The 15,464-nt window shown below is 42.3% G+C and overlaps 1 annotated feature.

Annotated features, from left to right (window-relative positions):
* Positions 4,245-4,539: a silencer, noted in NCBI's record as "tiled region #12193; HepG2 Repressive non-DNase unmatched - State 23:Low". NCBI's record gives its function as "represses a minimal TATA promoter and a strong SV40 promoter by Sharpr-MPRA in HepG2 cells {active_cell/tissue: HepG2}" and the evidence as "EXISTENCE:reporter gene assay evidence [ECO:0000049][PMID:27701403]".

Below are 15,464 nucleotides of genomic sequence, written 5' to 3'. Positions count from 1 at the left end.
AAAAAAAATTGTTTGAATACAAAAATTAGCCAGGTGAGGTGGTAGGCTCCTGTAGTCCCAGCTACTTGGGAGGCCAAGGCAGAAGAATTGCTTGAACCCAGGAGGCAGAGGTTGCAGTGTGCTGAGATTGCACCACTGCACTCTGCACTCTAGCCTGGGTAATAGAGCCAGAGCCCATCTCAAAAAAAAAAAAAAAAGAATCGTTTTAAATTCAGTTCCCAAACTCAGGAATGAAGGACCCCAGCACCTATACTCTTAACTATTAATGTAATCTGCCCCTCCAGAAACCAGCACTCTTGATGTGCAGTCCAATATAGTTCTCTTAAAGCTATAATTCAGCATTGCTTTTATATCTCCCAGGCCATTCAGTTTGCAATGGAAAAAAAGCAAGATAGAAGGTTAGAGCTGAAGGTGGGGAGTGGTGGCTTAAGCCTGTAATACCAGCACTTTGGGAGGCTGAGGCGGGTGGATCACCTGAGGTCGTGAGTTCAAGACCAGGCTGACCAACATGGAGAAACCCCATCTTTACTAAAAATACAAAGTTAGCCAGGTGTGGTGACGCTTGCCTGTAATCCCAGCTACTTGGGAGGCTGAAGCAGGAGAATTGCTTGAATCTGGGAGGCGGAGGTTGCAGTGAGCTGAGATTGTGCCATTCATTGTACCATAGCACTCCAGCCTGGGCAACAAGAGCGAAACTCCGTCTCCAGAAAAAAAAAAAAAGAAGGTTAGAGCTGAAAAAGACTTGAAAGAGTCTCTAATTCAGGTCTCTAATTCAGTCTCTTAGTCCACAACGGAGCCATTGAGGTCTAAGCGCATAACTGACTTTCCCAAGACCACAAAGCTATTTAGTGGTGAAGGCAAGACTATAATCCAAGTTTCCAAACTCTCAAAGCGGTTCTCTTTTCACTATACCACAAAATCTGCCCCTCCTACACTCTCTTCCTTTGGGGTAGGTACTAGTATAGGGTCCAAAGTTCTTGTTGACTCTTTGAATGGACTGGCTGATATGGCTAGGAAGGATTGGCCCTTACACATATGCAGCTTCTACTTCCTTGTCTATATGCAATGCCACGTCCAATTTTACACATTAGCAGAGTAGGCAGGTAGGATGTGCTGTGGGAAAAAAAAAATCCTGTTTTCTTTTTTGTTGTTGTTTTTGAATCGGAGTCTTGCTCTGTCACCAGGCTGGGGTGCAGTGGCGTGATCTCGGCTCACTGCAACCTCCACCTACCCGGTTGAAGCAATTCTTCTGTCTCAGCCTTGGAATAGCTAGGACTACAGGCGCACACCACCATGACCAGCTAATTTTTATATTTTTAGTAGAGATGGGGTTTCACCACATTGGCCAGGCTGGTCTTGAACTCCTGACCTCGCGATCCGCTCTCCTCGGCCTCCCAAAGTGCTGGGATTACAGGCATGAGCCACCGCGCCCAGTCAAAAAAATTATGCTTTCAAACTGCTTTGCTACATTAGCTTTGCCTTAATACCTCAAACCCTCACATTATTTGCTCGTTTGGGTTAGAGCACTGGAAACCTCTGTGAAAATGCCAGTGGACAGTATAACTAAAGAAAGATCTTGTCAATACCTTAGCTGAAATTTATTTATGCAATTAGCACTTGCCTCTTGGAAGAGTCCTGACAGAGTAGGACTCTGGAGAGATTAGGATTTTCGTGCAGAATCAAATGATACAGGATGGCCTAATAGGTATGAGGTAGGTTAGAGTGGGAACTGCAGTGAGGGGTCATGGCATATAAAGTCATTGAGCTCCTGGGGAAAGTGGGAAGGAATAGATAGTGGACCAGAAACAAGTGTAGAGAATGGAGCACTTTTGTACAAATTAGAAAAAGAGGCCCTGGCCAGGCGCCGTGGCTCATGCTTGTAATCCCAGCACTTTGGGAGGCCAAAGTGGGTGGATCACCTGAGCTCAAGAGTTCAAGACCAGTCTGGCCAACATGGTGAAACCCCATCTCTACTAAAAAACACAAAAATTAGCCAGGCGTGGTGGCGCGTGCTTGTAACTCCAGCTACTCAAGAGGCCGAGTCAGGAGAATCGCTTGAACCTGGGAGGCGGAGGTTGCAGTAAGCTGAGAACATGCCATTGCACTCCAGCCTGGGTGACAGAACAAGACTCTGTCTCAAAAAAAAAAGAGAGAGAGAGAGAGAGACCCCTGTTGCACATCTTGGAGCACAGACTGGATTTCCACCCACAGTGGTCCCCTTTTAGATTCTAGAATAACATTGTTTCACCCAATGTTGTTTTATTACAATGCTGATGAGGGGGGTAAAAAAAGAATCAATTCCTGGCTGGGGTCACTGTCTGTGCAGAGTTTGCTGGTTCTCCCCATGCCATGCCAACTACTTTCCTCTCACATCCCAAAGATGTGCACATTAGGTTCACTGGCGTGTCTACATTGTTCTAGTCTGAGTGAGTGTGTGTGCATGTGTGCACGCGTGCATATGTGTGCCCTATGATGGGATAAGGTCCTATCCAGGGCTGCTTCCCACCTTGTTCCCTAAGCTGTCAGGATAGGCTCTGGCCACTCAGGACCCTGAACTGGAATAAATGAGTCGGAAAATGAATGAATGAATGAATATAAATTATTGTAAAATAAAAATTCGTAAAGTAGATGATAATCATACAAATACACAATAAAGTAGACAATACTCATACAAATACACAATAAACAATGAGGTATGAAAGCACTCAGGGAGACTGCTGAATTTGTTCTCATTTACCCTGTGTGGTGGGAGGAGTTGCGCCTTACAATTTTCACTCTGCACACATTTATTCCTTGGTTTAACCCACCACCAGTATGACCACTGTTACTCACTGATTCACCAAAAATAGGTAAATCTTACTTGCTTTTATTAATTTTTTTTTTTTTTTTTTTTTTGAGGGAGGTCTTGGTCTGTCTCCCAGATTGGAGCACAGTGGCATGATCTCAGCTCATTGCAACCTCCACCTCCCAGGTTCAAGCGATCCTTCCACCTCAGCCTCCTAAGTAGCTGGGACCACAGGTGCACACCACCATGCTCAGCTAATTTTTGTATTTTTTTGTAGAAACGGGGGTTTCACCATGTCACCCAGGCTGGTCTTGAACTTTTAGACTCAAGTTATCTGCACACCTTGGCTTCCCAAAATGCTGGGATTATAGGCATGAGCTACCTCACCTGGCCTAATCTTTCCTAAATGCATGTATAGCTCACATTTATTTCAATATTTAATACTGGAAATGTTTTGAGTCTTTTTTTTTTTTTTTGAGACTGCATCTTGCTCTGTTGCCCAGGCTGGAGTGCAGTGGTGTGATCTCGGCTCACCACAACCTCCCCCTCCTGGGTTCAAGTGATTCTCCTGCCTCAGCCTCCTGAGCAGCTGGGATTACAGGCATGCCACCATGCCTAGCTAATTTTTGTGTTTTTAGCAGAGACAGGGTTTCACCATGTTGGCCAGGCTGATCTTGAACTCCTGACCTCAGGTAATCTGCCCACCTTGGTCTCCCCAAGTGTTGGGATTACAGGCGTGAGACACTACGGCCGGCCTGAGTCTTTATTAACAAGTTTGATGATGTTTTTGTGACCAGGAATATATGCCATAGGAACTTAACTGTTGTTTATATCAATTAGGCCGTGATAATTTTTTTTTATAGTCAGTTCACCTAAAGTCACGGTTTCCAAGAATCTATCAACAGCATTAAGTGAAAACTTACTGTGCACTGAACAATTTGTGACTGACTTGTATCAAGCACATACATCATAACGTTGCTTAGGGACTGCTCTGCCTGCACTCCCGCTGTTGTTACTCTTTTCCCAAAATAGCCATAGAAAATGAAAAGGGAGGCTGGGCGCGGTGGCTCACTCCTGTAATCCCAGCACTTTGGGAGGCCGAGGCGGGCGGATCATGAGTTCAGGAGATCGAGACCATCCTGGCTAACACGGTGAAACCCCATCTCTACTAAAAATACAAAAAAATTAGCCAGGCATGGTGGTGGGCGCCTTGTAGTCCCAGCTACTCGGGAGGCTAAGGAAGGAGAATGGCGTGAACCCGGGAGGCGGAGCTTGCAGTGAGCCCAGATCGCGCCACTGAACTCCAGCCTGGGCGACAGAGCGAGACTCTGTCTCAAAAAAAAAAAAAAAAGAAAATGAGAAGGGAACTAATATTCACACTGCCTAGCTGCAGCCCTCACTGAATCTACTGAGCCCCTACTCTGTGCAGTCACCGTGATCACAAAAAACTCCATGAATTGTATATTCTCATCCCAGTTTTACAGATGAGAAAAATAATGATCCAAAGAGCTTAAGTAGTTTCCCTAAGGCACATAACTAAGAAATCATTCAAAGAGGTTAAGTATTATGTGCTGAGCTGAGTCAAATTGAGGTCTTCTGACTCATGCTTTTCTTGTCTCACTCTACCACGCCCTGTCACTGAAAATTGCTTCCTTGAGTTTGTGCAGTTGCACATTCGCAGTTATGCGAACCCCGTTTACTTCACTGCATTGACCTTCAATGGGCTGATTTATCACAGGTGAGCTGTTGGCTTCTCATTTGTAAGTGGGCCATCTGGCAAGCAGCATATGGAAGCAGACCCTTTAACAAGGTCATAAGAAGGTTAATTAACTCTAGATTTTAAACTATTTTTCTAAAACCTGAAAGAAAGAAATACTGTTTGATATTGAGTACCAGCTGTTAGTAAGGTGTTGTGTTGGGTGCTGTATAGATATTACATTATAACTTCTTGTTTAATCCTCACAATATCCCCGTGAGAAAAATACTACACTAGCCTCCATTTTTCCAATGAAAAACAAATGTGACATTGAGAAGTAACTTGCCAAAGATCTCCTGAGCCCAGGAATTTGAGGCCAGCCTAGGTAACATGGTGAGACCTCGTTTCTACAAAAAGTTATTTTCAAAAAAATTAGTCAGGTGTGGTGGTAGCTCCCCTCTAGTCTCAGCTACTTGGGAGGCTGAAGTGGAAGGATTGCTTGAGCCCAAGAGATTCTCGGCTGCAGTGACCTGAGAATCACACCACTGCACTCTAGCCTAGATGACAGAACAAGACCCTGTCTCAAAAAAAAAAAAAAAAAAAAAAAAGTTTGTAGCTCAGTGAATTCACTAGCGTCCTTCTCCAGCTTGTTTAGAAAGCATAGGAAATCGTTTATAGCAAGTCAACTCCCAGTTCTAACTTTAGGATTCTACCTGCAACTATCATTTTCAACTTATAGTACCCTTGGTGAATGCCAAACAAATAGGCATATAGTACCCAGACACATTTGAAGAAATGCATTTCTACCTTATTGCAAAAAAAAAAAAAAAAAAAAAGACTCACAATCTGATGTCTAATGGTCTAATGTCTATACATTGCTTGGCCATACTGCCCAAGGTAATTTATAGATTCAATGCCATCCCCATCAAGCTACCAATGACTTTCTTCACAGAATTGGAAAAAACCACTTTAAAGTTCATATGGAACCAAAAAAGGGCCCGCATTGCCAAGACAATCCTAAGCCAAAAGAACAAAGCTGGAGGCATCATGCTACCTGACTTCAAACTATACTACAAGGCTACAGTAACCAAAACAGCAAAGTACTGGTACCAAAACAGAGATATAGACCAATGGAACAGAACAGAGCCCTCAGAAATAATACCACACATCTACAACCATCTGATCTTTGACAAACCTGACAAAAACAAGAAATGGGGAAAGGATTCCCTATTTAATAAATGGTGCTGGGAAAACTGGCTAGCCATATGTAGAAAACTGAAACTGGATCCCTTCCTTGTACCTTATATAAAAATTAATTCAAGATGGATTAAAGACTTAAATGTTAGACCTAAAACCATAAAACCTTAGAAGAAAACCTAGGCAATACCATTCAGGACATAGGCACGGGTAAGGACTTCATGTCTAAAACACCAAAAACAATGGCAACAAAAGCCAAAATTGACAAATGGGATCTAATTAAAGTAAAGAGCTTCTGCACAGCAAAAGAAACTACCGTCAGAGTGAGCAGGCAACCTACAGAATGGGAGAAAATCTTTGCAATCTACTCATCCGACAAAGGGCTAATACCCAGAATCTACAAAGAACTCAAATTTACAAGAAAAAAACAAACAACCCCATCAAAAAGTGGGCAAAGGATATGAACAGACACTTCTTAAAAGAAGACATTTGTGCAGCCAACAGACACTTAAAAAAATGCTCATCATCACTGGCCATCAGAGAAATGCAAATCAAAACCACAATGAGATACCATCTCACACCAGTTAGAATGGCGATCATTAAAAAGTCAGGAAACAACAGGTACTGGAGAGGATGTGGAGAAATAGGAACACTTTTACACTGTTGGTGGGACTGTAAACTAGTTCAGCCATTGCGGAAGACAGTGTGGCGATTCCTCAAGGATCTAGAACTAGAAATACCATTTGACCCAGCAATCCCATTACTGGGTATACACCCTAAGGATTATAAGTCATGCTACTATAAAGACACATGCACACGTATGTTTATTGTGGCACCATTCACAGTAGCAAAGACTTGGAACCAACCCAAATGGCCATCAATGATAGACTGGATTAAGAAAATGTGGCACATATACACCATGGAATACTATGCAGCCATAAAAAATGATGAGTTCATGTCCTTTGTAGGGACATGGATGAAGCTGGAAACCGTCATTCTCAGCAAACTATTGCAAGGACAAAAAACCAAACACCACATGTTCTCACTCATAGGTGGGAATTGAACGATGAGAACACTTGGACACAGGAAGGGGAACATCACACACCGGAGCCTGTCGTGGGGTGGGGGAAGGGGGAGGGATAGCATTAGGAGATATACCTAATGTAAATGACGAGTTAATGGGTGCAGCACACCATCATGGCACATGCATACTTATGTAACAAACCTGCACGTTGTGCACATGTACCCTAGAACTTAAAGTGTAATTTGAAAGAAAGAAAAAGATGTAAAATAAATATTCTTGCATCCGTTTCTCAAAAACCATCAAGCAGCTTAAAGTTTATCTAGAAATTGCCTCAGGCAGAGTGCAGTGGCTCATGCCTTTAGTCACAGCACTTTGAGAGGCTGAGGCAGGAGGATGTCTTAAGCCCAGAAGTTGGAAACTAACTTGGGCAACGTTGGAAACCAACTTGGGCAACGTGGCAAAACCCTGTCTCTCCAAAAAGTACAAAAATTAGCTGGGCATGGTGGCGTTCTTTCTCCCATGGTCCCAGCTCCTCGGGAGGCTGAGCTGGGAGGATCACTTGGGCCCAGGAGGTCAAAGTTGCCATGAATCATGATCGTGATACTACACCCCAGCCTGGATGACAGAGCAAGACCCTGTCTCAAAAAAAAAAAAAAAAGAAAGAAAAATAAATCTCCTCAAAGGTAAAAATAAAAATATTGCCAAAGCCTTCTAAGAAAAGATAGTAGAAAGAATATTGAAAGTGGTTTTGGAGACATAGATTGTAAATCTAGATCTACTACCACGCAATCTGTGTGACCTTTGAAACTGCTACTCAACTTCTGCTTCCCAACCTGTAAAATGAGAATACTCAATCCTCTAGGCTGTTGTAAAGATGTAAAAGAGAAAAAAGAAAAAGATAATGTACATAAAGCTATATGACACCCTAAAAAATGTCAGTTTAATTAAAACAAGAATGTTACACTAAAGATGTTTCTGCATCTTCTAATTTATTGTAAAAAACTAAGAAAGAATTATGAAGAAATGAGATCTTTGTTCATTCGGCTCCTACCTTTCTGGAATTCTGATTTATATGAAAAGTTTCACTGTTGAAGAAGTCTATATGAGTTTTATATCCCTTTAAGCAGTGCAAATGCCTGTGCCCTTGCAAATACCTGTATGCCTGAGGAGGGGACCAAGTGTCAGCTTATATAATGAGAACTCATCTCACTGGCCAGACATAGTGGCTTATTCCTGTAATCCCAGCACTTTGGAAGGCCAATGTGGGAGGTATTGCTTATAGCCAGGAGTTAGAGACTGGCCTGGGCAACAAAGCAAGACCCCCATGTCTACCAAAAAAATTTTTTTTAATTTAAAAAAAAGAACTCATCTCACTGTATTGTATCTCTTAGAATCTTTTTCAAATTAGGTGAAAAGCCTCATGATTTCTGACTGGTCTCTTTTATCCATATTTGTAAGGTTAAGCAACAGATGTTTTAAATGTAGGACAAAAGATGGCCCCCCTCCTTCTCTTCTATTTTCTCCTCTTCTTCCCTGCTCTATTCTCAGAGCTTGAAATGGACCACATTACCTTTCAGACTGACAATAGACTAACCAACACACTGAAAAACTGAGCTTTCCAGCTTGCTGATTCACACCTTCTTTAAGCAAAGAGATGATTGTTTTTAACTCGTAATGTCTTTATTATTTCCTGACTCCTAACAAGCTTCAGTCAACCGAGATCCTTTTGTATCACACAAGTAAATACTGAAATAGAAAAAACAACAATGTCCAAAAAGAATTTCCATTGGAGATTTTTTTCCCCTCAGGTAGGCTAAAAAAATGAATTATTCTGCTCATATATAATGAAAAGTACTAATGCTGGTTAGCCTCTCATAGCATTAGGGTAACACTTTTTGATGAAATTCAGTAATTTAGTCTTGCAGCTTAATGGCAGGATCAATGAGCAAGGAGTTAAAAGCCTTGGACTCTATTTTCAGTTCTATCTCTGGCTCATTATCATCACTCTGCCCTCACCATCTCCTATTATTACTGGGGATCTCAATTATGTTAGCAATGAAATTCAGAAAAAACACTCTGTTAGCTAACAAATAAGAGGATGCAGCAATGTTATTTCTGCAATTGATGTACCATTATGGTCTCAGACAAGAAATTGGCCAATTTGGTACCCCAGTTTATTTATCTATGAAAGAAATGATAAAGCATTTACTCATCTTCCTCCCTCCTCCCCCACAAAAATGTAGTAATGATCAGGGAATTGGCATCAATGCTATAAAAGATCTTGGATCTCTCTAGAACATCTCTATATAAAGAGGAATGTCCTTTCAATTATTTCTACTGGCACTTTTAGGTACTTAGTACTCTGTGAGTTTGAGCCAGATCAATTCTATTTGGAAAATATTACTATTTATACTGTCATTCTTTGCAGAACATTTGCAGAAATAGAATAGGCTACAGAGAACAGGCTTTAAGAAAACAAAATTATTCCGCAAGATTGTTGGCAATTAAAAATTCTTCTGATTCATATTATTATCCCTAACCAAGAAGCAGCTTATTAATTCAGAGCTGTCTATAGCCATGTTGTCTAGGTAACAAACACCAGCTATCAAATAAGGATACTACTCAGTTGATCCTAGCTATTCCAGGATTTTTGCAAAGTGCTTCAGAAAGGTGTGTTGGTAGTGAGGGATCTTAGAATCCAACAACAGTTGATAGAGAGCTTAAAATCTGTTTAGTTTTGTGTGTGTGTGTTAAACCTAGGAAATGTAAAGGGGTATTCACCAGTCTCATGTAAATACCAGAAGGGTGGAAGATAATAAGTAATATCCTACCAGTAAAAGGATTATTATCCTTACAATATCCATTATAATTTTTGAAGATTGTGATTATTATGTATTTTGTTATACAATCACATGGTCACATTAACGAGTACTACTAAATGCAAAGCTCAAATGGCGAAGGGAAATATTCTCGGATCAAGATGTGAAGCGCTATTAATTCAAAGATGAGTCTGAAACAGAAAGATCAATTTATGGGCCAAAAAGAATAGGCCGGGCGCGGTGGCTCACGCTTGTAATTCCAGCACTTTGGGAGGCCGAGGCGGGCGGATCACGAGGTCAGGAGATCGAGACCCTGGTGAAACCCCGTCTCTACTAAAAATACAAAAAATTGGCCGGGCGTGGTAGCCGGCGCCTGTAGTCCCAGCTACTCGGAGAGGCTGAGGCAGGAGAATGGCGTGAACCCGGGAGGCGGAGCTTGCAGTGAGCCCAGATCGCGCCACTGCACTCCAGCCTGGGCGACAGAGCCTCTGTCTCAAAAAAAAAAAAAAAACAGAGGAATATAAGTTCCAAAAAATCCCAACCAAATGAGACCCAAGATATAGGGTTAGGCTGGTAACTGACAGAGCTCCCTGTAGGCAGATCAGAACTGTAGATGCCTGGCAACTAGTATTGGAAATTAGTCACCAGGAAACTGGAGTTAAAAGGTAGAAAATCCAGTGACTTTGGTTACAACGGGTACCCATAGAAAACCTAGAAACTGGCCTGGCGCAGTGGCTCATGCCTGTAACCCCAGCGCTTTGGGAGGTCAAGGAGGGTGGATCACCTGAGGCCAGGAGTTCATGACCAGCCTGGCCAACATGGTGAAACCCTGTCTCTACTAAAAATACAAAAATTAGCTGGGCATGGTGGCACACATCTGTAATCCAAGCTACTCGGGAGGCTGAGGCAGGAGAATCTCTTGGACCCAAGAGGCGGAGGGTGCAGTGAGACGAGATCATGCCACTGCACTCCAGCCTGGGTGACAGAGCAAGACTCTATCTGAAAACATAAATAAATAAATAACATTAAAAAAAATAAAACCTATAAACTGCTTGAGAACAGATCTTCATTCATTCATTTAATGTTAGTTTGTTTGTTTTTGAGACAGAGTTTCACTCTTGTTGCCCAGACTGGAGCGCAATGGCACCATTTCAGCTCACCACAACCTTTGCCTCCCAGGTTCAAGTGATTCTCCTGCCTCAGCCTCCTGAGTAGCTGGGATTACAGGCATGAGCCACCACACCTGGCTAATTTTGTATTTTTGGTAGAGATGGGATTTCACCATGTTGGTCAGGCTGGTGTCAAACTCCCGACCTCAGGTGATCCTCCCACCTCAGCCTCCCAAAGTGCTGGGATTACAGATGTGAGCCACCATGCCTGGCCTCTTTTTTTTTTTTTTTTTTTGTCTGAAATGGAGCCTCAGTCTGTCGCCCAGGCTGGAGTTCAGTAGCGTGATCTCGGCTCACTGCAACTTCTGCCTCCTGGGTTCAACCGATTCTCCTGTCTCAGCCTCCCAAGTAGCTGGGATTACAGGCACCTGCCACCATACCTAACTAATTTTTTTTGTATTTTTAGAAGAGATGGGGTTTCACCATCTTGGCCAGGCTGGTCTTGAACTCCTGACCTCAGGTGACCCATCTGCCTTGGCCTCCCAAAGTGCTGGGATTGCAGGCGTGAGCCACCGTGCCAGCCCATGCTGTTGAGTTCTCTAGTATTGTCTGAAATATTTCCAATGTCTCAGAGTCTGATGGAAAAATATTTTTTAAGATTTAAAAGTGACAAAAACATCCATGCAAAGTTCTTCTTGGGAAGATATTTTATGAATTGAAAGAAGAAATATTTCTCTTTGAAGCAAATAAATGCAAAGAATATAAAACATAAAGTGATTGAAAATATACATGTACATGCCCTTGAGTATATTATATATTTTGCAATAAACCTTTCATAATGCTCCTGAGACTTAAAGCATTGCGAACAATTGAACAATAGAGCCATGTGTACTTATTGTCTTAATTCACTTTTCACATATATTAATTTGCCTAAGAATCACTTAGAGCCTTTTTTTTTTTTCTTTTTGAGACAGAGTCTTGCTCTGTCACCCATGCTGGAGTGCAGTGGAGCAAACTTGGCTCACTGCAACCTCCACCTCCCAGGTTCAAGCAATTCTCCTGCCTCAGCCCCTCGAGTAGCTGGGATTACAGGCTCCCACCACCACGCCTGGCTAATTTTTTGTATTTTTAGTAGAGACAGGGTTTCCCCATGTTGGCCAGGCTGGTCTCGAACTCCTGACCTCAGGTGATCCACCTGCCTCAGCCTCCCAGAGTGCTAGGATTACAGGTGTGAGCCACTGCGCCTGACCTTTTTTTTTTTTTTTTTTTTTTTTTTTTTTTTTTTTTTTGAGATGGAGTCTCACTCTGTCGGCTAGGCTGGAGTGCAGTGGCACAATCTTGGCTCACTGCAACTTCTGCTTCCCAGGTTCAAGCTATTCTCCCGCCTCAGCCTCCTGAGTAGCTGGGATTATAGGTGCCAGCCATGATGCCTGGCTAATTTTTGTGTTTTCGTAGAGACGGAATTTCACCATGTTGGCCAGGCTAGTCTTGAACTCCTGACCTCAGACGATCCGCCTGCTTCAGCCCCCCGAAGTGCTGGGATTACGGGCGTGAGCTACTGTGCCTGGCCTAGAGCCTCTTAAAGGTTAAAAAAAAGTTTTTCTTTCTCAAATTTATTTTTTCTTCAAAAATGATCAAATTCTTAGAGAACATATAGAAATTGAGAGCTTCTATAGTCTATGGCAAATATTTCTTGAACTTAAAAAAGTGAAAATAGACCAGGCACAGTGGCTCACACCTGTCATCCCAGTGCTTTGGGAGGCCAAGGTGAGGATTGCTTGAGGTCAGGAGTTTGAGACCAGCCTGGGTAACATAGCCAGATCCCATCTCTAACAACAAAAAAATTAGCTGGATGTGGTGGTGTACATTTGTAGTCCTAGCTACTCAGGAGGCTGAGGTGAGAGGATCATTTGAGCCCAGAAGTTTGAGGTTACAGTGAGCTATGATCATGCTACTGCACTCCAGCCTAGGTGTCAGAGCAAGACCCTATTTCAAAAAAGTAAGAGGAAGGAGAAGAAGAAGGAGGAGGAGAAGAGGAAGAAGAGACAATTAAGAAGAAGGAGAGAAAAAGAAAGAAGGAGGAGGAGGAGGAGAAGGAGGAAATTAAATTCCATTGTCACAGCACAAATTACTAACTTTTTGGCCAGGCTCGGTGGCTTACGCCTGTAATCCCAGCACTTTGGGAGGCCGAAGTGAGTGGATCACCTGAGGTCAGGAGTTCGAGACCAGCCATAGCCAATATGGTGAAACCTCATTTCTACTAAAAATACAAAAATTATCTGGTTGTGGTGGCGGGTGCCTGTAATCCCAGCTACTCTGGAGGCTGAGGCAGGAGAATAGCTTGAACCTGGGAGGCAGACGTTGCAGTGACCTGAGACCATGCCACTGGACTCCAGCCTGGGTGATACAGCAAATCCCATCTCAAAAAAAAAAAAAAAAAGGAAAAAAAATTACTAATCTTTCACACTTTTAGATGGGGCTCTACAGGGCTTCATTGCCATTTTCTCTTTAATAACTCAGATAAAAGGTCAGCAGAAATGTTCAATTTGAAGTAGTTTCCTAGAATTCTATGGCAATGATTTAGAGTCTCATCCACAGTTGTTCCTAACAATGTCTTTACTCCTAACAAGTTTCTTTATTATGGGACAAAGTGTTAGCTCTCCTAAAATAACCAGGAAACAGGACAATAAAAACAGAGCTGTTGTTTGTAAATGGGAAGCATAAAGGGTGAGTGGCAACTCACAGAGAGCAGCTTCATGCTCCCTACATCTCTTTTTGAAAATGATTCTGTCAAAGGTATTTCATTATAGTAATGTAATGGTTTCTATTATAATTGGCTCCCATTTCTTTTTTTTGGATTACAGGCGTGAGCCAACATGCCAGGCAATTGGCTCCCATTTCAAAAGAAGCCTATCATGTTGGAAAAGAATGTCAAGAGTATCCAAAAGTTATTCATTTACATGTTCTTGTTTGTAATTTATAAAGTCTTTCAAGATATGATTTCATTTTACCATCTTGCTTTTATAACCTGTACTATAGTTTGAGTATTTTTCCCCTTAAAAACTCCTGTTGAAATTTAATCTTTGGGCCAGGCGTGGTGGCTCACGCCTGTAATCCCAGAACTTTAGGAGGTCAAGGTGGGTGGACCACCTGAGTTCGAGACCAGCCTGGCCAACGTGGTGAAACCCCTGTCTCTACTAAAAATACAAAAAATTAACTGGGCATGGTGGCGGGCGCCTGTAATCCCAGCTAATTGGGAGGCTGAGGCAGGAGAATCACTTGAACCCAGGAGGCAGAGGTTGCAGTGAGCTGAGATCGCACCATTGTACTCCAGCCTGGGCGACAAGAGAGAAACTCTGTCTCAAAAAAAAAAAAAAGGAATTTAATCTTCAATGTGGCAATATTGAGAGGTGGAGCCTTTTAGAGGGGAGTGGGCCATGAAAATTCTGCTCTCATGAATGGATTAATACATTCACATATTGATAAACTAATGAGTTAATGGATTAATGGGTTATCGGGGGATGCAACTGGTAGCTTTGAAGAAGAGGAGAGGAAACCTGAGCTAGCATTCTCAAGCCCTTGCCAATTTATGCTTGCACTGCCTATGGACTCTGTTAGAGAGTCCCCACCAGCAGGAAGGCTCTCACCAGATGTAACCCCTTGACTTTGGACTTCTCAGCCTCTATAACTACAAGAAGTAAATTCCTTTACTTTATAAAATACCCAATTTCAGGTATTCTGTTATAAGCAACAGAAAATGGACAACCTCCCTCTTACAGATAAAATGTCTATCTTCTGCTTTTGATTATTTTTCTTTAAACTAAATATTTATACATTTTCTTTTTTTTTTTTTTTTTTTTTTGAGACAGGGTCTCACTGTGTCACCCAGGCTGGAGTGCAGTGGTGTGATCTGGGCTCACTATAACCTCCACCTTCCGGGTTCAAGCTATTCTCATGCCTCAGCCTCCTAAGTAGCTGGAATTACAGATGCCCACCACCATGCCCAGCTAGTTTCTGTATTTTTAGTACAGATAGGGTTTCACCATGTTGGCCAGGCTGGTCTAAATTCCTGACCTCAAATGATCTGCCCCCCTCGACCTCCCAAAGTGCTGGAATTAAAGGTGTGAGCCACCACACCCAGCAATTTATACAATTTCTAGATGTCTGTTATTACTTCATTTCCTGTTGCTGAGCCTTGCTTTGTTATCTTAATAAAGCATAAATAATACCTCCAGTGGAACTGGGTTTACTCCTGTGACTGATCAACCCCACCCTCCTAATTAGAGATTTATTAGTCATTCAGAGAGTAGTACAGTCAGCATCAAAATATTGTGCCACAGGCATATATATAAACACTTTTTAAAATAAATCACTTTAGGAGGCCAAGGCGGGCGGATCATGAGGTTAGGAGTTCGAGACTAGCCTGGCCAACATGGTGAAACCCCATCTCTACTAAAAATACAAAAAATTAGCCAGGCATGGTGGCACACACCTGTAGTCCCAGCTACTCTGGAGGCAGAGGCAGAAGAATGGCTTGAACCTGGGAGGCGGAGGTTGCAGTGAGCCGAGATTGTGCCACTGTACTGTAGCCTGCGTGACACAGTGACACTCTGTCTCAAAAAAAAAAAATCTGAAAAAATAGCCAAGAAATTTACCAATCACGATGTCTACTCTTCATCTATATGAGATTAATACACTTAATATTTAGTAAGAAAGTCCTCATAGTTACAAAAGTACTATTTTCTATGTTTTCACCAGCTCACAAAAGTCTTCCTCCTCCTCTCCTACCCAACCAGTAACCTTCAAATGTTCAAATTATGCAAGGAAAATTTAG

The sequence above is a fragment of the Homo sapiens genome, chromosome 10 (assembly GCF_000001405.40).
Source record: "Homo sapiens chromosome 10, GRCh38.p14 Primary Assembly".
Lineage (NCBI taxonomy): Eukaryota > Metazoa > Chordata > Mammalia > Primates > Hominidae > Homo > Homo sapiens.
The sequence above is the reverse complement of the archived record's forward strand: the minus strand, read 5'-3'. Positions and strand labels throughout refer to the sequence as shown.